The sequence below is a fragment of the Homo sapiens genome, chromosome 5 (genome assembly GCF_000001405.40).
Source record: "Homo sapiens chromosome 5, GRCh38.p14 Primary Assembly".
Classification (NCBI taxonomy): Eukaryota; Metazoa; Chordata; class Mammalia; order Primates; family Hominidae; genus Homo; species Homo sapiens.
In genome coordinates, this window is record NC_000005.10 from 66,829,690 (window position 1) to 66,856,628 (window position 26,939).

General features: G+C 38.8%; 1 protein-coding gene across 15 annotated transcripts in view, besides 4 other annotated features; it reads left to right on the plus strand.

Moving 5' to 3' along the window:
• MAST4 (microtubule associated serine/threonine kinase family member 4) overlaps positions 1–26,939 on the plus strand; it is a 573,201-nt gene that overhangs the window by 233,297 nt on the left and 312,965 nt on the right. The gene's annotated exons all lie outside the window — the stretch shown is intronic.
• Positions 42–543: an enhancer, noted in NCBI's record as "NANOG hESC enhancer chr5:66125559-66126060 (GRCh37/hg19 assembly coordinates)". NCBI's record gives its function as "activates a minimal SCP1, AML or CMV promoter by ChIP-STARR-seq in naive H9 embryonic stem cells {active_cell/tissue: H9 hESC(naive)}" and the evidence as "EXISTENCE:reporter gene assay evidence [ECO:0000049][PMID:30033119]".
• Positions 11,334–11,383: a silencer, noted in NCBI's record as "silent region_16068". NCBI's record gives its function as "represses an Ori minimal core promoter by ATAC-STARR-seq in GM12878 lymphoblastoid cells {active_cell/tissue: GM12878}" and the evidence as "EXISTENCE:reporter gene assay evidence [ECO:0000049][PMID:35858748]".
• Positions 12,063–12,564: an enhancer, noted in NCBI's record as "NANOG hESC enhancer chr5:66137580-66138081 (GRCh37/hg19 assembly coordinates)". NCBI's record gives its function as "activates a minimal SCP1, AML or CMV promoter by ChIP-STARR-seq in naive H9 embryonic stem cells {active_cell/tissue: H9 hESC(naive)}" and the evidence as "EXISTENCE:reporter gene assay evidence [ECO:0000049][PMID:30033119]".
• Positions 19,522–20,721: an enhancer, noted in NCBI's record as "BRD4-independent group 4 enhancer chr5:66145039-66146238 (GRCh37/hg19 assembly coordinates)". NCBI's record gives its function as "activates an origin of replication core promoter dependent on BRD2, P300/CBP, MED14 and CDK7 cofactors, and independent of BRD4, by STARR-seq in HCT116 cells {active_cell/tissue: HCT116}" and the evidence as "EXISTENCE:reporter gene assay evidence [ECO:0000049][PMID:35650434]".

Genomic DNA, 26,939 nt, shown 5'->3' on the forward strand with positions numbered 1-26,939 from the left:
CTTATATATTATTTTGATATTAAAAAAAATGCTTGGAATACAGAATATACAGCACATTTAGAAATGTTTCCTTAATATTAAGTCTTTGAATTTCAGCTGGTCTAGCTGTCTGCTTTTTGTTCTAAGTATCAATTATTAATACTAATATTCATATTACTATAATATTAATATAGGCAACGAAAGGATTATTTGCAGCTAAACAAAAGAGGGATTAGAGAAGTTGGGGTTACATACCATCTATTGTTCAAACCTAAGTAAACAGACTACCTCCTTAATGAATTTCAGTGTGGTCATTGTTTTTGAATGCACAGTGTGGTTAGTCACTGCTGTGGATTTCCTTTTCTTTGTTTTCATCACCTCTATAAAGTTCTGGTAATGCACAGCTGTTTGTGTCCACGTCCTCTTTGGGGTCAGTTGTTAAATATGGAAAGGCTCTTTGTTAAAAAGATGATTAACTCTGTTAAACTCTGAATAGTTCAGATTATTAGTGACTGGATAGTAATTCTTCTGTGAGTTTTCTCTTTCCTTTAATTCATTTTAAATGATCTGAAAATGTTTTTCAGAAGAAATTCCTTTTTTAAGTTTTTGTTATTTCTGTAATATGTCTGTTATCACAACTTCAGAGGAGATAGTTGAAGCATATAGTGCTTGTGAGGGGCATGGTTTTCATGGGCCTTTAATTTTAGAAATAAAGGAATCATTATTTTTCATTAATTAAAATAATGGAGCTATTTTCTATTTAAAATATTTGCTACAAAACAAAGGAATACTTGCTAATATATTATTAGAGTGCTAGGTTTTTATTGTACTTAATATACTTTTTCTACACCTGCCGTCCTCTGTATAATGGATAAGGAATATTTTCTCTTCTGGATGAGATAAGTCTTCATGCTGTGAAAAATAACAACATAAAAGTGCTTGAAAGTTCTGCCACTTCATGGTTACAACTTTACTGTGGCTTAATACAAAACCTATTTTGCTTTTACTCCCATTGCATCTAACATTTAAAGAAAGACATTACATAGAGTAGCTGTTTTTAGAAATTCCACTGTAGGGAAACTATTTACAGAATACACACTTTATGTATTTGTATTACCACACATGTCACTGTAGAGTTCATAAGAGTAACGCCACCTAGTGAATTTAAGAATAAAATTAATTTACAAATATAGATAGCTATGTGGAACATTTGAACCTGCCAATGAGGTATACCTGTGTTAGTAAAGCTAGGCTGAAACCTGCATATCTCTATTCCTGGCTCCAATCCTGTGTTGTGAGGTAATCCTGACACACCCTCTTGGTGTCTGTGTATTATTCTGTAAAATGCATACTGTAATATATGACTTTTGAGTGTACTAAATAAGTAGATGGGTAGAGTTGAGTTCTTTAAAGTTAAGGGTCATATAATAAATGTACTAGCATCTAGGAGGAACCCAATAAATATTGTTGAAAACCAAGGGATGATTTCTATTCTCTATAACATTCCATATCATTGCTTATGAAATGAACTTGTTGTATTTATACACCATGTTTGTTGTCTGAATTTGTCCTTAAGTTAGAACAGTTATCAGTAAACCTAGTAAACATTTATTTACAGGGATCATTATGACAGGCTAATATAGGGGAGTTTACATTATTTTTAAAAGCATCTGTGCATTGAATAGATACATAGTATGTGAGACAAACCAGCTCTTTAACTTAAAGCCCAGTGTCAAAAATCTGGAGTATACACTATTCTAATTCTCAAATCTAATTTTACAATAATGTATTATGTGTTTAGTATAAAATGATGCAGTATGTATTTAGGACCAATTTTAAAAAGTTCAGTACCTCTAGTTTTTAAAACACGAGACTATTAGTGGTGTTTTTAAAATTTGGACTTTGAAAAATTATTTTCAGTCAGAACATATAATTTCTCAAATCATGACAAGCTCATAAAATGGCAGCACAACTGAGTTGTTCATCTTAAGTGACTGCACTTTTCCATCTTTTCTATGGACTGTATTCATATTTCCAGTACTACTGATAGCACTTCAATCACTGCCTTTGAAATGAGAATGAGAGAAAGCAGCCCCAGTGGTTTCTAGTGTTAGAATCTAGAAAACTTTTCAGATTGCATCTCAAAACATAGGAAATTCTGATGGATGGATGGGCTTGGGCCGACCTTGTACTTTGGGCAATTTGAATTTCTAGACAGGTCTAATTCATCAAGGGATAACTGGTTCCTTTTGGGCCTAATATTCCTCATACGTGGATCATATTTTTTAACTGTCAGGGAAATTAATTGTTTCAGTGATTTCTGTTATATGTTTCTCTTTATTTGTTTTAATGAAAGTATCCCTATCCCTAATGTGATAGATCCTAAGGCTGGAGAACAATGAACAATAGGCATCGTAAGGCAGGCATGACTTACTAAAAGAGAGGGGCATCCCAGAGCGGCTGACGATGCCTTTCCTGCCATCCTCTGGTGCTTTGCTCTGCCTGGCATCATCTTCTCATGATCACCTCCCCACACACGCCCCCCAATTAAATATTACCATTTCCATCCACTTCCAGACTCTCACGTGCAGCTAGAATGTGAAAAAATGTTTTCCCCAAATTTCCTCTATGATGCAGTTAAACATCAACGAAAAGCAATGAAATGTTTATTGTTTAGACTTCTAGATCTGTGAGTGTGTTTAGGTTTTTTTTTGTTTGGTTTGCTTCTCTTTCTTCTAAACCCGACTGCACACCCCCCACCCCTGTCCCCTGCCCTTCCCACCTTATTTAAAACAACAACAAAAAGATAACATTCTTACGCTGGCCTAGGCTCTGATTTTCCGCTGGCCTTGGTCTAGAATTCAATTTTAGGAAGCAAAATAGCAGATAGATTCTTATGTTCTAACTGAGCATCAATCTGCCTCTGTCTCATGGTGCATGAATGTATATTCAAGTCACAATGTCTCAATGTTTCTTCTGTCTCAACCTTAATATAATTATGGGTATGTTTACACTTTACCTGAAATTCAATAGTAGGATCATTACATGGGAGTATTACTCTGTCTATATTCATTTGAAGACTCTGACTGGCTATAGGGAAGAAGTCTAGTTGGAAGATTATAATAGAAACATTTATGATAATATTAATTCATCTTTGGGATAAAGCACTTTTGTTCTTCAGCAATTCCAGAAAGACATTGAGACTTCTTTGGGACAGGAAGTATCCAGATGGCAAATGAACTTTTTGCAGTTGTGGGTCCTTAGTTTATTAGACAAATCAATGCCATATCCGAGTGGTGTTTCTTACCCATTGGAGGAGTTCAATTTCTGCCTCTGAAATAGATATAGTACTGTAGTTTCTATTTCCTGATCCTTAGGGGATAAAAATGGCATGTCCTCAAAATCTTGTGTTCAGAAAAAATTCTATTTTATACTCTAAGAGTGGATTTTAACTGTAAAATAAACAAATTTGTTTACTAGCTCCTCTTTTGCACCTTTTGGCTCTCTGGTGTAATTGTTAATAAACCACAACGTTGTCATCTCTGTATTTTGGTCAGTGAAACAGCAATTCTCCAAGTCATTCTAGTTCCCACCTTTGATTTCTCCATCTCTTGACTCCTGTCACCAAACCCTGTCAATTCTACCATCAAAGTATGTCTAGAGGCTAGGCCTAACTTCTTGCACACCTGGATTTTGGAAATGTCTGGTACCCCACTGAACCCAGACCCATCTCCTATTCATCCTGCTTTTTAGCCCAGAGTCCATATCACTGCCCTGGTGTAAGATCCTCCTATGACTTTTCCTGATCTACTCCAGGGTAGGCTAAAAATGCATACTGTGAGTTTAGCCACAGTCTTGCTTTCAGGTCTCATCTCTAAATCTTTGCCTTCCAGATTCCTGTTTCATAACCTGTTCTCCCAGTGTTTGGAACCTCCAAACTGCATGTATCCCGTTTACCTACAATATCCTTTCTTTATTTTGCACACATTCTTCTGCTTATTAGAGATTAATGTGAATTTTAATTTTCATGAAATTTTCTATATTCACTGCATTCTGTTCTGAACTTGCTAATAGTCATGATTTTATTTGTTTGCAATCTAATCCTATAACATGCATTATTTTAAATAATTTAAAATTATTTCATGTAGGAGTATGTTACACTGAAACTATAAAACCATTGAGGATTACTGGTTTTGGAGTCAGATATGTGTTCAGTGACATTGAATAGCTCTGTAACTTGTGTTAAGTTTCTTGACCACTCTGAATCTCCCATGTCCACGTCTGTAAAATGGAGATAACTAAATGAGGCATTTAAAGATTGAAGGAGATTACAAATCTTTTAGCACAGTGCCTGGCACATTGTACTTAGTTAATCTTAGCTGTCTTCCCTCTGTCACCACTAAGACTTGCACAGCAATTTTAAGTAATTAAATACGGGTATCAGGCAGGGTCCAGGCAATGAAAAGATGGCGTACATGTCTTAGATAATTTGAGAAGAACTTAATAGAGGGTTTGTTGTAAAAAGGATGAGCAGGAATTGGGAAAATTTAAGGGATGTTGCAGTACCAGGAGCTAGAAGTGACAGGGAGCCATTACCACCTCTAGGCCTAAAGGGGTGAGAGAGGGAACAGTTATAGAACCCGGAGACGCGAAGACGTGAGACAGGACCTGTGACCTTAGGTAAAAGGACACAGCCAGTCATATCTGCAGGGAGGTACCAGGAGGTATCTCAACCTTATTTTCTGAACTCTTGTTGTGCTCCCCATTAGCAGAAGCCAGCTTAGACACCAGAGGGAAAGGGAGCCCATGGATGTTGTCCATGCAGGCCAGACTCCGGGGCCCAGCATGGGGTGGAGAGTAGTTCCAGATGGGCAAATGAAGTACACCTAACATGGTTTATAAGGAACACATGCCAGGCTGCCCCTTACTCTTAGCATTTTGCAAGCCAAAGTCAGTGTTCAGGTGTTCATGGCCTACATCACTGGGGCCTGAACAGTTCAGGAATTTGAACAGATTCTAAGCTGCTTTTCATGAAAAGCCATGGCCCCCAGCCATTGCCCACTGTTGTGTGAGATAACATAGACTGACTCTCCAATCAGACTCTTAATCCTCATGGGAAAATGTTAGTTCATCGCCTTCCATTTTAGTATCTGAAGCACATGGCGCTCCTTTGAATCAATAATGCAGGATACCTGTGCTGCAGGTCGTGCAAGTAGTCTCAATTTTAAATTGCTCTGCTCTACAGATCCTGTGATAGCTTGGCTCAGAGGAGTGATGTGTGAGAGGAATAGCCCAGGAGACCTCTTACCATTTATCTCCTGGATTCCCAGGGGTCTGCCCTACAGCAGGTGCTATCACCGGAATGCAATGCACCTACACCACCCATCTCTGCTCCCCTTGAAACCCCTTACAGAATTACAACTTCACATTATGTCCTTGGCTTTTATTGAGTGTTGCTAAAAGGAATGACTGTGAGAAAACATCTTTGTGCTTTTTGTAAATCTCCCTTTGAAGTCTCATCCATTATGTTGTGCCCTGTCTCTTATATTAGGCCCACATAATAAATTAGCTTAGAATTCAGCACTAAAAAATTTCTCCCTCTCTAGGTGAACCAGTTTACTTCTTTTAATCACATAATGAGAGCTGTGACCTATCCTGTGTCTTTCCATTCTTGCCTTAGCTGTCCAGACCTGAGTTTCATGCTCAGTTGCAATAGCTTTCTAGATAAAATTAGCCACCACTTCATTGTTAATCTTATGGTCCCTTTTTACGAGTAGTGTGGTTTTATTTATTATATAAAAAAAAAGTTGCCTCAAAAGATTTCTCACGATGACCCAAAATTTTTGATATTGCATTTAAAACAATAAAATTATTTGAAAGAATGACAAAAGACAAAGGAGACTGAAAGCCCAGCTAATCAATAAACTAGATAAACTATAAAAATTGAGAATTACATGAACTTAAGATCAATATGCATGCAACCACCAATCATTTTGTTGTTAGCACTAGAGCGTAACTAAATAAGATGTTTGAATTTACTTGAAACTTATATTTCAAATAAATTATATGTAACCATAGAGCTTTTTAAAGTGTCTTAGAAATTACTTTTTAGTTTTTGGAAGCAATCAAAGCCATTTTACAGATGTGGACATGGAGATTCAGAGTCGTCAAGAAACTTAACACAAAATTGCCTTCATTGCCATTAAAATCATGCTTTTGGGATGGGTGCAGTGGCTCACACCTGTAATCCCAACATTTTGGGAGGCCGAGGTGGGCGGATTGCTTGAGCCCAGAAGTTCGAGATCAGCCTGAGCAACATAGTGAAAACTTGTCTCTATAAAAAAATACAAAAATTAGCCAGATGTGGTGGTGTGCACCTGTAGTCCCAAGTACCTGGGAGACTGACGCCAGAGGATTGCTTGAGCCTGGGAGGTTGAAGCTGCAGTGAGCTGTGTTCGTGCCACTGCACTCCAGCCTTGGTGACAAAGTGAGACCCTGTCTGGAAAAAAAAAAAATCATGCTTTTGACAAGTATTTAATGATATGGGGAAAAGCTGAAAATAGTGTCAAGTGAAAAAAAGAGCAGGCTGTCTATGTAATGTATGTACAGATCATTTAAAATATGCATTATATGTTGGTGAGGTGCAGAGAAAAGGCAATGCTTATACACTGTGGGTGGGAACATAAATTAGTTCGGCCACTGTGGAAAGCAGTTTGGCAGTTTCTCTAAGAATTTAAAATAGAACTACCATTTGACCCAGCAATTCCATTATTTGGGATGTATCCAAAGGAGTATAAATTGTTCTATTATGAAACACATGCACGCATGTGTTCATTGTAGTGCTATTTATGATAGCAATGACATGGAATCAACCTAAATGCCCATCAATGGTAGACTGGATAAAGAAAATGTGGTACATATACAATATGGAATACTGCACAGCTGTAAAAATGAATGAGATCATGTCCTTTGCAGCAACATGGATGGACCTGGAGGCTGTTATCCTAAGCATACTAACAAAGGAACAGAAAACCAAATACTGCATGTTCTCACTTTGAAATGGGAGCTAAACACTGAGTACCCGTGGACAAAAAGAAGGGAACTTAAGACACCAGAACCTACTTGAGGTTGGGAGGAGGGTGAGGACAAAAAAATGACATAGGGGGTGCTATGCTTATTACCTGGGTTATGGAAGAATCTGTACACTAAACTCTCATAACACACAATTTACCTGTAAAAGAAACCACATGTACCCCAGAACCTAAAATAAAAGTTAAAAAAGCAAATAAAATGTGCATCATACACAGATACATAGACATACATACATGTGTCTGGGTAAAAGACCATGCAGGATCATGTGTGTGTGTGTGTGTGTGTGTGTGTGTATGTATACTGTAGCCTAGTGGGATAGAAGGAAAGAGCATTCATGAGCTTTTGAATGTTAACATTGTCTCTACCTCTTACTGCCTGATGTTGGCTAGGCTATTTAATTCCTCACCAATAAAACACTAGCACTTAATTTTAGCAGAGTTGCTGAGTATGAATTCAAATGAGGTATGGAAAGCTTAAAAATATGTATTGTAGTTAACGTTGAGAACGTATTTTCTTTTTCTTCATCATTATCATCTAAAATAACATGAAAATGTACTAAAATGTTAATATTCATTATATCTTAGTGGGATATAAATTTTTCTTTGAACCATCCAACAGTAAGCATGTTTTACTTTATAATTAGTTAAATAAGTGGGTTTTGGGTGCCTGTTTTTAACTTTGCTTTCCTTCATTGTCTAAGAAAAGCCTTTATGTAGTATTTAGCACCATCAATGAAAGGTCCTTCAAGGCTCTTTTCTATTTTGTGCTGTCTTTTGGAATTAAGCAAGATAAATCAACTTTAATTTGGTGCATGTCTCTAACCCTTAGGACGTGGTTCACCTGTAGCTGGCTGCCCTATTGAACCACCTGGAAAGCTTCCTAAAGCCTATAGTCTAGATACAATCACAGCAATTCAATTAGCATCTCTCAGTGGTGTGCAGCCAGAGTTGAAACCCACTGCTCTTAGGGGACTAGGGGTCCAGGTAACTCCCAGATCATCAAACCTACAACTTCTCAATATCCAAATGTAAGGTTTGACAGCCTTTAAAATGTATGTCAGTGCTTTGGTCTCCTTTCTATCAAGTCTCAAGTGAGACTTGATTTTATATATATATATATATATATATATATATATTTTTTTTTTTTTTTTTTTTTTTAATGTGGAGGTGTTTGGAAGGTGGATATACTCACCATATTTGTTTGTTGAGCTTCCAAATAACAACAATGATAGTAACATGAGAGCTCAAACCATTAACCAATCTGCCTTGGGGGGCAATTATCATAGTGGGGTAGCTGGAGGCAGCTCTAGACCATTACCTCTAAGGGACCCATGGCACTGGTAGTGTCCAGGTGCAGTTTTATGTTTTTAAAATTGCTGGACATGCTCCATGGTTTCCATTAGAAAACCACCTCCAGGGCATGATGAGACAGTTGCTTTGTCCCTTAAAATGTTTTCCTAATGCTAGAGACAATAATGCCTGTGATTTGGAAACCTTTATCTTAGATACTCTTCAATAATGTACATGTTTGAGCTCTCAAAACATTGGCTATTTTATTTAGATTGTGAATGTATGTGCTTTTTTGATGAGGCAGTCAAGGACAGAACCCCATTCTTTGCTTTTCTTTCAATAAATGTTTAATGATAATAATAGCATATATTGAACTGTTTGTGTCAGAGAACTGTGTGCTGTGTCTTAAACTTACCCTATTGTACTTTTATCTTAGACTCTAGCAGTACAAAAATGAGTGGAATATGACACTGACCTGTGAAGGGTTTCTGTTATGGTAGGTGAGACAGACAACAGTTTCTGAAATAGCAAATGCTACAACTATCATCAGTCAAGATACAGGGGCCTTGAGCATGGTGCCCTGCTCTGCGGAAGGAAGCCGGGAAGCCTTCATGGAGGTGGAGATATTTCTGCCGGATGGTGAAGGATGAACAGGTACTGATTAGGCAAGATGAGGATTCTAGGCGGAGGAAGCAACAGTGTGTGCAAGGTGTGGTGGCTGAACAGGGTGCATCTTTTTCAAGGAATTGCAAATAGTGCATGTGGGAAGCAGGAAGTGTTTAGCAGAGTCTCAAGAATGATGCTGTCTGTGTTCAGGGATTTGGGCCTCATAGTCTAGCAATAGGAAGCCATTGAAAGACTGTAATCAGGGCATAGAAATATTTTATCAACTGTGAACTATTCTGTCAACTATTAATGAAGAATGCTTAGGAAGAGGCCAAGAAAAGAAGTAAGATAAACAGCTAGGAATTTAGAAATGAGGAGGTGGTAGATGATGCTGCTGGACCGAGGTGGTGACAGTGAAATGGAGAAAGGCAACTGAAGGTAGAATTAACAGGACATGGTGACCTGTTGATGGTTGGCAAAAGAGAGATGGAAGAAGCTTGAGGTGACCTTATGGTTTCAGGAGTTAGGGATTAGAAACAAGAGCAAGAGATAAATGTGACTTGGATGCTGAGAAGAGAATTAGTTCGTTCTGTGAATCTTGAGTTTGAAGTACCTGTGGAAGCCATCTAGGTGCAGATGTTCAGTAAGCAGTTGGATATGTAGTTTTAAACTTCTAAAGAGAGCTCAAGCCTGGAGAGAGACTGTAAAGTTACCAACTATAATAATTAATTGAACTAGACTGTGAATAAAGAGAAAATGCAATTTCTCCCAGACTCATAGATTTCTGTTAGAATGGTTTTCCAGAATTGTACCATAATGTGTATTTTAACACTTATTTTGCAGGAATGGTTAAAATTACATGGTGCACAAAGTAGTTCTGTGGTTTAGTATCAGGCCTTGAAAATAATATGTCCAGCTTTGAAGATGTGTAGGTTTTTTTTTTCCCCAAATTGCTTCCAACTTTGACAACTTGCCTACAAGTCTCATTCCAATACAGTTTTTGAAAGGCAGAATGAAACATCTCAAACTAGAGGCTGTAATGGAAAAAGCAATTTATTTTTAAATGAAGATGATGAGGTTGGTGTACTGTATTACTTGAACAGTGAGTGAATTTAAAAGAGTGAGATTACATCAAATTCAGCCAAGATTTTTGTTCCATTTGAATGGAGTATCTGTAATTGAAGATGGGTGTTCAACTAAGAAAAACACATGACATGTACATTTTTATCAGTTTTCTTGCACTCTGTTTCCAGTTTCTTTGTGCATGTGTGTGTGTGTGTGTTCACAAAGCCATTGCATCATATTGACAATTTTTTTTTTTAAACTGACGCGTTCTTGGGCAACAAATGAGAATACAAGCTTAATTTTACTAGCTTCACTTTTTTTTTGAGCTTTGGCCTAGTAGTTTAGTATGTTGAGAATATGCACTCCTCAGGAAAGTGGTAGGAAGTCAGACGTAGAATCTGTAACAACTAGCTCAAAATGATGAGAGAAAACATTAAATATTTTCTAATTGGAAATTTTAAAATGAAAATTTTTTAGCTTTGTGCTAAAATTTAGAAGCTAGGTCTAGAAATATTTCATTTTATATTTTTATCTTAACATTTTTCATGATGAGATAGTGATTGTTTTATCTTTTTTAATTACCTGTTTTCTCAATTTTAGCATCGTTGTGAATGAAGGTAAAGATTGAATTATATTGATTCAAGATTGATTTGACTCTATTTTTTCTTTAAAACTATATTCCAAATATAGATTGTTAAGCTCACAGATTCATTTTCCATTTCTGTTTAGCAATCAAGCTAAGAGACAATATGGTTACTATGAATCAAACTTGGGTAGTGTGATAGATTCAATCCTTAAATTTTTTACTTCCTGTAATAGACATGTACATTCATTCCTTGCTTGGCCTCATGATAGGCAGAGCCTGCCCTCCACCTCTTGACTCTGGGCTCAGCCATGTGACTGTTCATTGGCCAATGAGCTATTAGTGGATGTATCATGAGCAGAGGCTTAAAATATGCTTCTGCAGGTTCAAAGTCTTGTGCTTTGGTCATCTATCTTGAGAAGAATATACCCAGGGTAGCTACTGCCTGTTTACTCTGGGTCCCAGAACAAACCTCTGTGGAGCTGACCTACGTGAACCTGTAGCCTGGAGTCAAGACCAACAGACCCACATTCTCCCTCTAGACCTACAAATGTGAGAATAAGCCACTAAGTTTCGTAATGAGTTGTTACCCAGCTTTATGATGACAAAGATGACTAATATGGGGGACAAGCATATGTTGTGGTTAAGAGCACTGAAGCACACTACTGGAAGCACTGAAGTCTATTAAATTTCTGTTTGAATGTTGGCCCACCACTTATTGGCTTTATTTTCTTGGGCATGCTGTTTTCTTCTAAGCTTTATTTTGCCATCAATAAGATATATTACTTACCTCCCAGGAATGTGGTAAAACTAAATAAGATGTGTGCATGTAAATTACTTAAAGCAGTGTGAAGCAGAAAGTAAAAACACCACAAGTTCCTAATAAGTTGTGGCTGCTGTTACTGTTGTATTTGTAGACAGCTGAGCCTCCTCTTCTCCTTCCCTTGCATCATATGGCTTTCCCAAATTCTACATTTGTGACTCTGGAGCAGGTTAAAACTTTTCTGAGGCTTAGATTCATTTTCTGTAATATGAAGATACTAAAAATTACCTGACAGGATTATTACAATGACTCTACCAATGGTAGGCAAATATCTAACTGTCTTAGTCAGTTCTGGCTGCTCTAACAAAATGGCATAGACTGTGTGGTGTGAACAGCAGACATTTGTTGCCCACAGTTCTGGAGACTCAGAAGTCTAAAATCAAGGTGCCAGCAGATTTGGTTTCTGGGGAGGGCTCTCTTCCTGGTTTGCAGACAGTTGCCTTCTTGCTATATGGTGAGAAGAAATCTCATGTCTTTTCTGTTTTTAATAAGGGCATTAATCCCATCATGAGGGCCCCACCTTCATAACCGAATTTAATCCTAATTACCTCCCAAAGGCCCCATCTCTAAATGTTAATACCATCACTTTGTGGATTAGGGCATCAACATATGAACTTTGGGGAGGGGGATACACACATTCATACCACAGGGCTAGCTCTGGCGAGGCAAATGGGTACTTAATAAAAATAGCTTTATTATGTTCACAATTCATATATTCCTGCATTCTCTTATTTACTCATTTCTTTAAGCTGAGTTTTCCATGCCTAGTTTTTGAGTTTGTATTATGAGCCATACGTAAGGCCTTGTACTTTTGACTTAATTCTTGGTTTCTAGCAATCCCTGTTTACATTACAATGAAATAAGAAAGACTGTGGAAGGCAGGAATTGAAGGAACAAAAGTGCTGCAATTAGGAAGGCATGATATATTAATAAGGTCATTCAAATAGTACTTGTGTGTTTATTGTACAATCCTTTTGCTTCTGTGGGCTTTAAAACAGTAACTCTTTGGAATAAGGGGATTTATAAATGGCAAGGAGTTGCTAATGTGGAACCAGTAAAGGCTTTTGATTGCAGAATTACAAAATGCAAATTAGTAGAGATTCAGCATTAGAGGGCATGGTGAATAGGGTAGGGTGTGGAATCACAGGGGACCTCATGTATAGCATGTCTCTATTAATCAATGTAGCAGAGAAGGCATCTAAAATGCTTTTGTTTTAAATGGACAAAATTTGCCAAACACCTTTTTACCTTTCTGCCTGGAAAAATGTTTTGATGTGTTGGCTTTCCACCTCCTGATTTTTGTGTGTGGCTCCTTCCCCTACCCCCTCCCGCCCCGCCAAATGTTGTTGTACACTGCCTTGTCTGTTTCATTTCCACGTGTGGGTTCACTGACCACATTAGCTGGTAGCTCCTGGTATTGTATGCTTCCTATCCAGAATTTGTTCCATAGAAAACCTGTGTCTTCAACATACTTGCTTTGAAATTATTTTGATCTGTATCAGCAGGAATAGGTTTTGAGATCCTGGATATTAACTTCTGGGTGCCACTCTCTCTAGAAGCTAATTGACTGATTTGTGGTGGAGGCGAGATGAGAGTCTATACATTTGACCTATTTCACAGAGCTTACCTTGCAAGCTATTGAAATGCAAATACAGACTAGCTTAGAGATTCTAAGAATTCACACATTCAGTTCTTTGTTTTTTTCTGAAAAATAAGCATTCAAATTTCATGCACATTCTATTATTCATGTGCCTTATATTTAGGTTCCGCTTGTATGTCTAGATAAATCTTATCACCATTATTTAAAATTTCATGAATGAAACTTTGCATCTTTAATACTAACACTAGCCTAGACCAATCAAAATAATTTGAAATGCAGCCCTTAAATGAACTCCTCCGTGTGTCTGTATATATACATTTACATATACACCTTTGCCAATGCCTTATCTACCACTGTCTTTTAAATCTACTCCATGTAAAATGGGGAACGATTCAAAACCTCTTTTATATTGTTGTGCCTCAGAAAAAAATGGAATCTTTGGAATGTGCTGCTTAAAAGGCTTCTATGAGATAGCACATTAATGTCAAAGCACATTTTCTTTGTTTGATAGTTGTCACGTTAGTGGTCCTGAAACAGAATACTCTTTTCCGTGCTGTCCATTCATTTGTATTTTTAAGTCATCCACCACTTTTCATTTGTCAAGCACTTGAAAAAGAATATTGTGTGTCAGCAAGATAGTTCCTCTGTCATTTGATCTACAAGTTAGCCTTCCTGAACAGTTAGTGCCTTCAGAATCCTTTTTTTCTCTGAGCTATGGTCGCTTAACAGAGAGGAGAATGATTTTCTTAGCCAGATCCAAGACTCCCCCAACTGAGTCTACTGCCTAATGCCTATTGGTGCTAGCACTAACATTTTCTGATACAGTCTTCAATATGTGATGAGGCTGAGTATCCGGCATTAAGTTTGGAAGAAGGAACATAGACTTAAGTGAAGTTCTTTGTTAAGCCTTATGTCCCCATAGAGTGTTGATGATGGTTTGAATTGAGTCACTTTCTGTCACTTTCTGGGAGCCATATCAAAAAAGACTTTACCAGTTCTCTTTGCTGCCTTTGAAGTTCTGTAATTTCTAGGTAGGGTCAATTTTCTGGGAAAAATAACAAATATTCATGGGAATTTTGATACACAGCCAGGGTATATTAGCGGCTCATACTTGGAGCACAAAGCGGTTGCACAAAGTAATGGAATTGGACCCTCTTTCGTAGTTTCATGAATTATCTCAGGTTTTAGCTCCCCTCACCCCCAGGCTTTCAGATTTGCTCAGATGGATGTGCTGGCGGGGATAGTGGTGGTGGTGCCCAGTGGCTGCATCATTTCCTGCCTCCTCATGCAAGGAGGGTGTCTTTCATTATAATAGCCCTTCCCGTCATTGTCAGACACTTTCCTTAGGTTGTTCTAAACTGAAAGCTGGTGTAAAGTCTGGCATTCATCTTTAACAGCTGGTCCCAGTCAGCCTGTGTGTGTGTGTGTGTGTGTGTGTGTGTGTGTGTGTGTGTGTGTGTGTGTGTGTGTGTTGGGGCGGGGGGATTATGGGTTGTTGGTTTCTGCTATCCACAATTCCCCTTACCTCCTGGGTTTTCTCAGTTATGGACTCCTATGACCTTTTCAGCTTTGAAATGCAGGCACACATTTATGTTCTTTTCATCAGTATTAATGGAACCACTTTGGACATAGTATAAGAATGTTGATTTCTTGGAGCATCTTTGGATTTTATCTGTATGCTGAAAACAGTAATCAGCTACATTCTTCCTACTACTGTTGTCTCTTGGTATTAACTTGTGATCTACGGGAAGTGTTTTAGCTCTATGGGGTCATCATTGGACCAGTCTTATGGGAACATTCATTCACTCACCCAACGGATATTTGTTGTGCATTTTTGCTTTGTGCCAGGCTGGTTAAACAAGGACAAATAAGACCCAATTCTGGTTGTCTTCCGGGAGCTTATGGCCAGAAGTGGAGATGGCAGACTGGTAACTAGACAATGCAGAGTGAGTACTATGATGGTTAGCCTGACATGACACATAGTAGATGCTCAAGAAAGGGATAAGTAGATGAGTATAAAGAGTGCTGTAAGAGTACTTAAGAGGATGCTCATCCAGCTATGGAGTTATCAGAAGCCTGGCATCAGTGGTTGAGTTTGGCGGTGATTATTGTTCCATTCACCTTACATTTTGGGTCCTATTGAGAAATTCAAAGGGAAAGATCCAATAGATAAGAAGGATACATATGAGCTTGGAGAGAGAAGGATGCAAATGGCCTAGAGATAACAATCTAGGTGTCATTATCTTATGGGTGCTAAATGAAGCCATGGGAGTGGAGGAGATTAGCCAGGGAAAGCCTGAGGCACAAGAAGAAAGGAGGACCTGGAAAATAACACTGACCCATTAAGGTCACTAATCTTTATATATATATATATATATATATATATATATATATATATATACACACACACACTTGAAGTTCTAGGTTACATGTGCACAACGTGCAGGTTTGTTACATATGTATACATGTGCCGTGTTGGTTTGCTGCACCCATTAACTCGTCATTTACATTAGGCATTTCTCCTAATGCTATCCCTCACCCATCCCTCCACCCCACAACAGGCCCCGGTGTGTGATGTTCCCCGCCCTGTGTCCAAGTGTTCTCATTGTTCAATTCCCACCTATGAGTAAGAACATGCAGTGTTTGGTTTTTTGTCCTTGCGATAGTTTGCTCAGAATGATGGTTTCCAGCTTCATGTCGCTACAAAGGACATGAACTCATCCTTTTTTATGGCTGCATAGTATTCCATGGTGTATATGTGTCACATTTTCTTAATCCAGTCTATCATTGATGGACATTTGGGTTGGTTCCAAGTCTTTGCTATTGTGAATAGTGCCACAATAAACATACGTGTGCATGTGTCTTTATAGTAGCATGATTTATAATCCTTTGGGTATATACCCAGTAATGGATGGCTGGGTCAAATTGTATTTCTAGTTCTCGATCCTTGAGGGATCGCCACACTGTCTTTCACAATGGTTGAACTAGTTTACATTGCTACCAACCGTGTAAAAGCGTTCCTATTTCTCCACATCCTCTCCAGCACCTGTTGTTTCCTGATAAGGTCACTAATCTTTAGGAACACTTTAAGATTAGTGGACCAAATGAATAAATAAATAGACATTTATTTATTGGGCAGTATATATTTGGCCCTCTTCTGTGCTGGGACTTCAAGGATGCTTTTGAAAATAGTATCCTATGAAAGAATTATAAACATAACATTTATTGAACTTCTAAGTGCCAGGTGCCATTCTGAGTGCTTTACATGTATCAGTTCATTTCATTTCTATCACATACCCTTGGAGGAGGTGCTGCTGTCCTCAGTTTTTAGAGAAGAAAACTGGAGAGTTACCTGACCTTTAGTGAATTCATAGAATTAATAAGTGACAGAGTCTAGCTTCAAACTTAGATACCTGGATTGAAATCCAGAGAGTTTGGCCGCATTCTTAATGGTCTTACCCTTTTTTGCCTCTCTGAAGCAGGCCAGACTGATGGCCCAACTTACAGTTATCATCCACTGTGACAAGTTCAGTAGAAGTTGTATCTGGGATAACACGGAAGCTCAGAGATGGGTGTGGTTAGGGTATCTATGCGAAGGTGGTTAGTTTGGTAGAAAAATTGTGATGAGTTCCACATATCCATACTTCTCCAATAGCCTTGAGGAGCTAAAGCTATGATGTATTTTTTTCAATTGTAGGCTTAGAGAGGGATATTAGTTCTTGATATTTTATCCATGAGAGGCAGGATGAGATAATGTCCATTATACTAAGAGGCAGGCTTTCCTGGTCTATGGAGGTACAGCTAGTTTGTTGCTATAGATTAATGACTTGAGTCCTGGAGAAAATAGAGTTAATCCATGACTGTAAATTATAAAGTATGTAATTCTATCAGAAGAGGTATGTTATGGTATAAAATTTCTGGAACATTCTCTTGAAGGCTGAATTCCATAAATTAGTTGGTATATGGAGAGTCAGGCTGGTAAACAGAAAAATGAATAAGGCCAGAAAAAGGAGATTTAAAATTTTAGTTGCTGTTTAAGTTAATTTTAGTTCTTGTAAGATAGGATGAAAGACATCTAAGGGGCTCATGGAGGTAAAATGGTGTCTGGAACATTTATTAATTTTATTATGGAAAATAATTTTGAGTTGTATATAATTTGCCTATAACTTTGTATGACTTAACTAAATTCAGATCTTCCTGCATTAGAACGTGTGGTTTCCTGGTGGTGTCTACCTCCCTGGCACTCATTTCTCCAGTGCCTTCTTTATCAGCCCCCTTTTTTCCATTTGGGAAAGATTTTCTTTCTTAGTGGACATTAATTAGGAAATACGTAGCCTCAACAATAACTGAGAGCTATATTGAGTGTTTAAAGAAAGCTTGTTTAGGAAGATGGTAGTGCCATGAAAAGTAGGGCCAAAAGATGGTTTTGGAAAAGTTGACACGGATTCAAATCGAGGGGAGCATTTGATGTAGATCTGTCTTAATTCTGTCCCAGGGACCACAAGGATGGCATGTGACGTACACTAAGTCTAGCAGAGTGAATTTCTGTCCCATTACTGGGACTGCTGAGGCAAAGATGCTTTTTCTTGTTGGACATTAATTGGGAGATACAAAACCTTAACAGGGCCAGGCATGGTGGCTCACGTCTGTAATCCCAGCATTTTGGGAGACTGAGGCAGGCAGGTCACCTGAGATCAGGAGTTCAAGACAAGCCTTGCCAACATGGCAAAACCCCATCTCTACTAAGTAATACAAAAATTAGCCAGGCGTGGTAGTGGACGCCTGTAATTCCAGATACTTGGGAAGTTGAGGCAGGGAGAATTGCTTGAACCCAGGAGGCAGAGGTTGCAGTGAGCTGAAATCATGCCACTGCATTCCAGCCTGGGTGACAGAGCGAGACTCCATCTCAAAAAATAAAACAACAACAACAACAAAAACACAAATATTAGCTGGAGGTGGTGGTGGGAGCCTGTAATCCCAGCTACTTGGGAGGCTGAGGCACTAGAATCACTTGAACTAGGGAGGCGGAAGTTGCAGTGAGCTGAGATTGTGCCACTACTCTCCAGCCTGGGTGCTGGAACAAGACTCCTTCTCAAAAAAAAAAAAAAAAAAAAAAAGAAAAACCTTAACAGTAGCTCAAAGCTACACTGGGTGTATGAAGAAAGATTGTTTTAGGAAAATGGCAGTGCCGTGAAAGGTGAGGCCAAGACTTGGAAAGAAATCAAGTTCTTACAGCCACTGTAAGGCCACTGGATCAAATGTTGTCCTAAGCAAAACCTCTTGCTGGACTTTTGTGTTGCCCCAGTGGATAAATCCTTTATATTGTTTAAGTCACTGTGATTTGGGTATTTTGTTACTTGGAACAAAAAGTATCCTACTCTTTTGGGGTTTTAATTTGCTTACTATTTGCTTAAGATTTTTTTCTTTTGAATATTCAGAAATTTTTATTTTGGTGTCAAAGTAAATTTAGTGTATCCCCTTTCTAAAATGTCTTGCTTTTTTTCTTCTACAAAGTTTTCTTATTCTTTGTTATTTTACAATTAAAACATGCTTTATATGTAAATAATTTGTTTATGATGTTAGAAGAGGCAGAAAAAAGGCGATAAGGAATGCAAATTTATTTCAGTAACATTTGTCATAAAATACTAAGTTTTTTCTTCTTTGAAGGATTAGTATATTTGTGCTTTTACTCTGCTAACCTCTTAAAAGCAGGCAGGTTGTTTTTTTTGTTTGTTTGTTTACTAAGAATTACTAGGCATGACTTCACCAATGATCAGTTAGCCTCCGTTATTATAATTTTTTAACCTAAATGATTTGACAGTGATAAATAGCTGATGTGGCAAGTCTGCAAAAAGCTTTATATTGTTATTGCCTTTTATCACTTGTGCTCTAAATAATTGTTCTCATCTGTCGACTCTTAGATGCAGTTTTGTGAGGATTAGGATGTATGGAACAGAAAATCCCGCCTAGTGATTTTTTAAAATTCTCTATTTCTTTTCCTTCTTTTCTTCCTAGTTTTCTTCCTCTTCTCTCCAGTGTGTTTACTTATGAAAGTTGTACTCATGATTTAAGATCCAATTCCATAGACCCTCTTGCCAGACCACATGTATGTCTGTAGCTGCAGCATTTATACACATGGCACGAGCAGCTGGGATGTCTGGTGTGCTCATATCAGAAAACTCTGTCAAACATGTGGAGAGGATTGCCTTTTATGCTGCGTTCCCCAGCGTTATGCTCTTCCTGCATCATGAGTTAAAGCGATGGAATTTTGTCCAGGGTCAGAGCCTCTGCAAAACAGGAAACCTGTTGGACTCAGTGAAATAATGACTCTCAATATCCCCATTATGGATGATTAGGGGTGTCCTTGCTCTAGGTTTCCTTGACTCCTTTATGCATCTTTGTATTGTGATGAGGGGGTCATAAGCCAAACTGGGGTTCCATGTCTAGAGGCTGACCCTGTGGCATTGTTGCAGAGCTGATGGAAATTTTGGGGGGTTCTGTCTAGTTTTGTCCAGTTTGTTCTATTCTGGTTCATACCCCAATTCGAAGCTGAGGAAGCAGGCAGAAACTAGAGTCTATCAAGTCTTCGCTAAGGAAACATCTGTGCCCTCCTCCTGAGGAGTCTCTCCGTTTGTTGGCTGGTTCTCCTTCCTTCTGCATCCAGTTCCCTCCTCCTGTCTATTCTCCCCTCCACCTCCCCTTTCCCCTCTCTCTTTACCCTACTCCTCTTCTGCTTTCCTCCCCCCTTTTCTCTTCTCCTGTCCTTTTTCATTTACTCCATCTCCTCCTTTCCTGGAGTTCACTTGAGCATTTCTTTGCCCAGAGAAGTAAGCCAGGGTAAGGCGTTCCTTCTTCAGGGCAAGGCGTTCCTTCTGCAGACCACCATCACCTAGCCGAGCTCTGGTGAGAATCTGTGGAACTGCCTCTTGCCTGTCTCTTTCCACCCTGTGGGTCTGTAAACTTCTTAAGATCAAGAAAATTGTCTTGCCCCCGTTACATCCCCAATACATGGTCAATAAATATTTGTTATTTTCAAGGGCTGGAGTTAGCAGTTGATTTTAATTCTCTTTGTGTTTTTGAGCTGTTCCATTAGGAATCTATGTTATGTATTATTTTTATAATCAGGGCAGAAAGTTTAAAAAGAAATATAATTTGATAAAAGCTGTGTGCACAATAGAGGAGACTCTCTCAAGGTCTGCTTAGATGTTAATGGGGTCCTTGGCAAAAGCATATTACCTCACAGGCATGAGGCAATTATTTATAGTGGTTACATCAGCCAGAATAAAGATGATGAATTCTGGATTCTTGTCCCTGCACATCCTCTGACTCACTGCAGAATTCCAGGTAAAGAATTTGCCTGATTTGCCTTTTATTGCCTCTGTAACTCCTCCAGAGTTCAAGTTTAGAGCTTTTCTGTTAAAAAATAAAAAATAAAGCATTCTTTTGCCTCAACAGCTGAAGCCCGAGGTGCTTTAGAATTAGAGAATTGTAGAATTTTAAGTCTAGGAGAGAAACCTTCGATTTAATCTAGCTTCATTACTTCATCTTTCGGTTAAGAACACTGAATTTCAGAGAAATAAAATGAACTGAAGTTATCAAAATAGTGAATGTCAAAATCAAGGTGTTTTTGTTCATAGTTGTCAAACATTCCTTTGTTTGTTCGCTCTGTCTGTCTACACGTAGCCGATGCTTGAGTTCTTCTGTGTGGCCACATTGAACTACAGGTAGAGCATCTCTTATCTGAAAATCTGAAATTTGAAATGCTGTGAAACTGGAAACTTTTTGAATGCCAACATGATGCTACAAGTGGAAAATTCCATACCTGATCTCGTGTGTGGATTGGTCACAGTCAAACCACAGTCAGCCTGGTTTCATGTACAAAATTATTAAAATTACCTTCAGGATATGTGTATAAGGTGTGTAAGAAGCACAGATGAATCTCATGTTTAGACTTGGGTCTTTTCCCCAAGGTGTCTCATTATATGCAAATATTCCCAAATCTCCTGAAATTTGAAATACTTCTGGTTCTAAGCATTTTGGAGAAGGATTACTTAACCTGTATACTTTTTTTAAAAAAAGGAACTGGTTCTTGCCTAACAGAAATTACTCCATTTCAGAGTGTTCATTAATATCCTTCAGTGTGTCTTCTGATTCAACTTAAATTGCACAACCCTGACCCAAGATGTTGCCACCATTTTAAGCCTTTTTTTTTTTTTTTTGAAGAAAAAAATGCATACATTTGAGAAATGTGTTCTCTTATAATGGAGAGAGGGTTTCTCCTGCAAGTAGAGGCTGCTTAGGCAGTATTTACACTCGGTGCATGCCCAGCAACATTTCCCCATGGATGATAATGTCTTTTACAATTTCGAATGGTTTCAAAACATTTTCAAATCAAATGGGATTTTAGCACAATATTCCATCTTGGCCCTGTTTATTGTAAGAGCCATAATCTAATCTTATCTGTCTATTATGTCCAAACATTCTGTAATATTTCCCAAATCAACTACTTTGAAGTCTACACTCTCTATTTTCTGTCTGTCTGTCTTTGTATCTATCTATTCAAAGCCTCAGCAAAAAGGCTCAGAGAAGAGAAAAAGAGTTGGGTAGAGCATCTCCTTAACCAGGGTTTAATAGGAGGGTGGGCAGGAGCAGCCGTCTAATTTATTAGGCTGCTAGCCAATTTGAGGCAACCTCTTAGTAACAAATTTTTGTTACACAAAATTTAACACCTATGGCAAGAACCATAAGGATGCCTTGAGTAGCCTCAGATGCATTCTTTTTGTGTTGGTCATTGCTCTTAAAGGACAGTTTAATTCATGTGAGATACTGTTGCAGCTTGCTGTCCCTTTTATTCCTTAGGAAATGACTCTTCAGAGTCACCGTTTTCTTAATGTTTTAAAAACCTGTGCTATGTATCTAAATCCCTTTTTATTTTTATTAACACCACATATCAGTGGATTACTATAGTGCATGCACTTCTCTTAGTGGAGCCCCTATTTGTATCAGCGTTTCCTTGGTGCAGACTTCCTCCTGAAAATGAGCAGTAGCTAATTGTGGAATAATTCTTTTTGGGAACATTTTTGTCTATACCCTTCTTTTTGACTGTTTTCAGACTTGCTAAGTGTGCCTAATTTCATTGTGTTATTTATTTTAGAGCTAGATAGGTTTTGGAGGTTCCTTTAGTTTGATCCCCTTATTGTATAATCTGGCGAGGTTATCTGACATTAGCTAAACTCCCAGTATATTTAATGAATAGTAATTTCCATGAACAGTTTTAGTACTGGGTTCAATGTGGTGGACTATTTTGAAAATATATAATAATCTACCATGTTATAATGGAAGTTTACTAAATAGTAAATGTGATAGACACTGTATATATATAGATATATAAGCTGTAATCCTCAAAATAGCTAGGCATTATTAACTCCTTTTTCTTTTTGAGATGAGGTCTCACTCTGTCACCCAGGCTGGAGTGCCGTGGTGCAATCATGACTTACTGCAGCCTCAACCTCCCAGGCTCAGGTGGTCCTCCCACCACAGCCTGCTGAGTAGCTGGGACTACACGCATGCACTACCATGGGCTAATTTTTGTACTTTTTGTTGAGACGGGGTTTTGCCATGTTGCCCAGGGTGGTCTCAAACTCCTGGGCTCAAGCGGATCTGCTTTCCTCGACCTCCAAAAAGGCTGATATTACAGGTATGAGCCACCGTGCCTGGCCTATTAACTCCATTTTATAGAAGAGGAAACCGAGGCTCAGAGATGTTTGACAAATTCCCTGGACACCGTAACGCTTGTCTGTGTGGATACAAATCTGTATCTCCTTGGCTTCACAATTTGTACCATGGTCTGGCCCTTTCTTACCGCAAAATGATTTTGAGGGAGAAGTTGGGCTGGATTTTTGCACAACTGAAATTCATTTAGACTGTACTTTTGGCTACATTTTTCCCCCAAATTAGAAACACAGATAAATCTTTTGTATAGAAAATACCATTGCAATGCAAGTTCTCGGAGCTCCATTGTGTCAGTGGGTTTAAGTAAGTTACAGAGATAGTTGTCAGTAATCTTCAAAGGATATCCTAATGAAATGTAAACTATCTTCCCTCCCTAAATAGAATTCTCATTATATTCCCTTTGGTGCGTGAAGAAAGAGGGATGCAGAAAATATGATGAGCTGAGGAGGAAGACTGTAGGATCCTGTTTGAAAGTGGAAAACAGAAATGACATACTCTTCTCAACAGTGTCATAGTGGATGGTACACCCTGGTCAAAGCCCAGAGTGAGTCTTAAGAGGAGGGTGGTTAATAAATCAAGTCCCTTTGTGATTTTCCTCCCATATATTCTGGTTTCTATTCCTTAGTTCATGGCCTTGTGCCATGACTGGTAGAGTCAAGTTATTGCTTCTAATGAAAGTGAACTTTTGTTCAAGTCATGTTAGTTAAAGTGGATTCTATTAATGGGAAGAAAATAGAGGCATGTTCGAAAAGCCTGCATAACCAGTGTGATAATTTAATCTACCCGGAGTAAGTGTAACTGGTCTAGTCATAGGTTTAATAGGTCCCGTGTGTGTGTCTGTGTGTAGGTCACTGAAAAATCATTTCCCCATATCTTTGTTTTCTATTTATTCTAAATGATCATATTTCTTTATGTAGGATGCTTAGGATTCTGTGGAAAAGCTGATGGTATTTTTAAAAATAAATAGTATTAAAGAAGTGTTTCATGAATAAGTGAGAAAGAACCCTCCTGTTTTTATGGGTTTGTCCCTTCTTGTTAGTATATGGTGAGAGGGAAAAGTTATATCACAGAAGATGGAAGTCTCACCTAAGTAATCTTGTTCAGTAATGCTTACATGTTTATTCTGAGTTTGTGCAGAAGTTACTAAGTCTCATCAGAAAGAGGAGAATGTAGACTTCAAAATAGTTGATTTGGAAAATATTACAGAATGTTTGGACATAAAGTTTTTCAATTCACTGCTTCATGGGTTTTCTGCCTGTGGGAATAGTTTTTTGAATGAATGGAAGGAAAAGACCTAATTCCTGCAAGGATTTTTTGTGGAAAAGGAAATCAGAATTCTTTTCTAAATATATAACTTATGTTTTAAACAGATTGAATAAACCTTTAAGTATCTTGCATCAAACATAAAGTGCATTTAATTTAGCAAAGCTATTTTAATTATATATTTAATAAATTACTTAAAGGGTCAGTAGAAATTAAACATTTATAACAAATCATAGTTTAAAATAAGTTAGGGAAGTTGCATAAATAGATTTGCTACAAATTTTGCAAATTTGCTTTTTCCACAAAGGCAGGGACTGACATTTTTATTTATTTATTTATTATTTTTATAAAAGATGGTGTCTCCTCATATTGCCCAGGCTGGTCTTAACCTCCCCAGTAGCAGGATTGCAGGTGTAAACCACTGCCCCCGGCTGGTGTCATTTTTAAAAGTTAAGCTTTGTGCCTATACTGCCTAGCACACAGTAGATGCTTATTGAATGAGTATGTGAAAGAACAAGAATCAGGTATCAGACACTCTTTGCCTAGACTATTTATCCATATTTTGGTGATTTAATATCATGATTAGTGTGTATACTGGTTATCTATGGAGTTGTGACCAATGACTCCAAAACATATCTGCTTCAAACAACAAATATTTACCATGTCATAGTTTTTGTGAATCAGGAATCCAGATGCAGCTTAGCTGGGTGATCTGGCACCAGGTCTGTTACAAGGCTAATATCAAGGTATCGGCTGGGGCTGCAGCTACTTCAAGGCTGGACTGGGGCACCACCTGCTTTCCAAGCCCACTTAGATCCTTGTCATGTTCTTCTGCTCATAGGACGGCTCATAGCATGACAACTCACTTCCATCAGACGGAGCATGGGAGAGGGCAAGAGAGGGCAGTCCCTCCTTCTTCTTGGAAGGAGAAGTTACAGTCTTGTAACCTAATCTGGGAAGTGACACCTCCTCACTTCCGTTGTATTCTAGTCCTTAGAAGTGAACCACTAAATCCCATACTCAAGGACAGACTAAAAAAAGGTATGAAGGCCAGGAGCCAAGGATGATTGGAAACCATTGTAAATGCTGCCCTATCAGTTAGAAGAGGAAAAAGATGTGAGCTGGGAGCATCTCCACAAGCAGAAGCAGTCACCCTTTCCTCAGTGCTCTGGTATATTTTGTACCCGCCTTGACATTACCCATTGTCACATTTTATGACAAGTGTGTGCGAATTCTGCCTTGCTAGATTTGTGAGTTCCTTGACAACAGAGACTTCATCCTGTTTATTTTTGTGTCTGTGTTCACATGCTGTTTGACACTCAAGTATTTAGAAAGTAGTAGTACTATGGTTTGGATCTGTGGCCCTACCAAATCTCACGTTGAAATGTAATCCCCAGCGTTGGAGGTGGGCCCTGGTGGGAGATGTTGGATTGTGGGGTGGGATCCCTCATGAATGGCCTAGAGCCATCCCCTTGGTGATGAGTGAGCTTTTGTGGGATCTGATGGTTAAAAGTGTGTGGCATCTTCCCCACCTGCCTCTCTCTTGCTCCCGCTATTGCCATGTGAGACTCCTGCTCCTCCTTCACCTTCCGCTATGATTAAAAGCTCCCTGAGGCTTCCCCAGAAGCTGAGCAGATGCCAGCACCAACCTCTTTTCTTTATAAATTACCCAGTCTTAGATACTTCTTTATAGCAATGGAAGAATGGCCCAATGCAAGTAGAATCCACGATTAAGAAAAATACATTTAGAGCTGGACTAGGTGGTGTTTGCTCGCTTCATTTGTGTTCTCTTGAGAACAGAGCTGGAGATGAGAATTTGAAGGCAAGTAGCTTCGGGATGTTGTCAAGAAGCAGGAATGAGGGAGGAGAGATAAGGAAGCAATGCCAGTGTAAGGGTGCTGTGATGGGCAACGGGAATGTCATTTGACTGACACCTCCTGAGACACACTGAAAGAAACACTCTGGAATTGGCTACCTGAAGGACTCTTATTGGAAACCAGAACATGTATGCACCACCAGCTCCTGTGCTCATTGGTTGATGGTTGTTCTCCCAGGGGAATGGACTTTGTTTCACTTCTGGGCCTTAGTAGGCTTACATGGTTTTGGAGAATGCCTGGGGCAGAAGAAGAAAAGTGTGTCTGTTTGAGATGGGATACTTGGCCAGGCCTGGTGGCTCATGCCTGTAATCCCAGCACTTTGGGAGGCTGAGTTGGGAGGATCACTTGATCCCAGGAGTTTGAGACCAGTCTGGGCAACATAGCAAGACCCTATCTCTAGAAAAAAATATTAAAAATTAGCCAGGTGTGGTGGTGTGCGCCTGTGGTCCCACTTAGGAGGCTCAGGTGGGAGGACTGCTTGAGCTCAGGAGTCTGAGGCTGCAGTGAGCCATGATTGCACCACTGCACTCCAGCCTGGGTGACAGAGCAAGGCCCTGTTTCAAAAACCAAAACAAAAGAGAGAGAGATAGGACACTCTTTGCATGAGGTTAGTCTGAGCTTGCACTGAGTCCCCACTGTGGCTAAGGCTGATGTCAAAGGGTGCAGGGAGAACCTGCAGGGTGCGATGCAGGCCTCCCTGACTCCCGATTGTGTGGTGTAGGTGTCAGCTGCACTTGCAGACAGAGCACTAAGGCCTGATCCCAGGTAGGACCTTGATGGTTTGGATGGGAAAATGTGGGAGATCAGAGACATGGTTAGCTTTCACCTGGAACTTAAATGGAGAAATCCTTTTGTATAGTAGTTACTGGAAGTTTTAAGTTGATTTATTTACTGTTTCCACTTGAACAGAAAGAAAAGTGAGATATTGGTCTCAGTTTTGAAGAGTTATTAATTGCCCTCACATGTGCCAGTCAATGTCAGTGCTGTCTGGAGGAAAAGATTAGAAGTTCCTGTGTGTTGCCTTTATCAG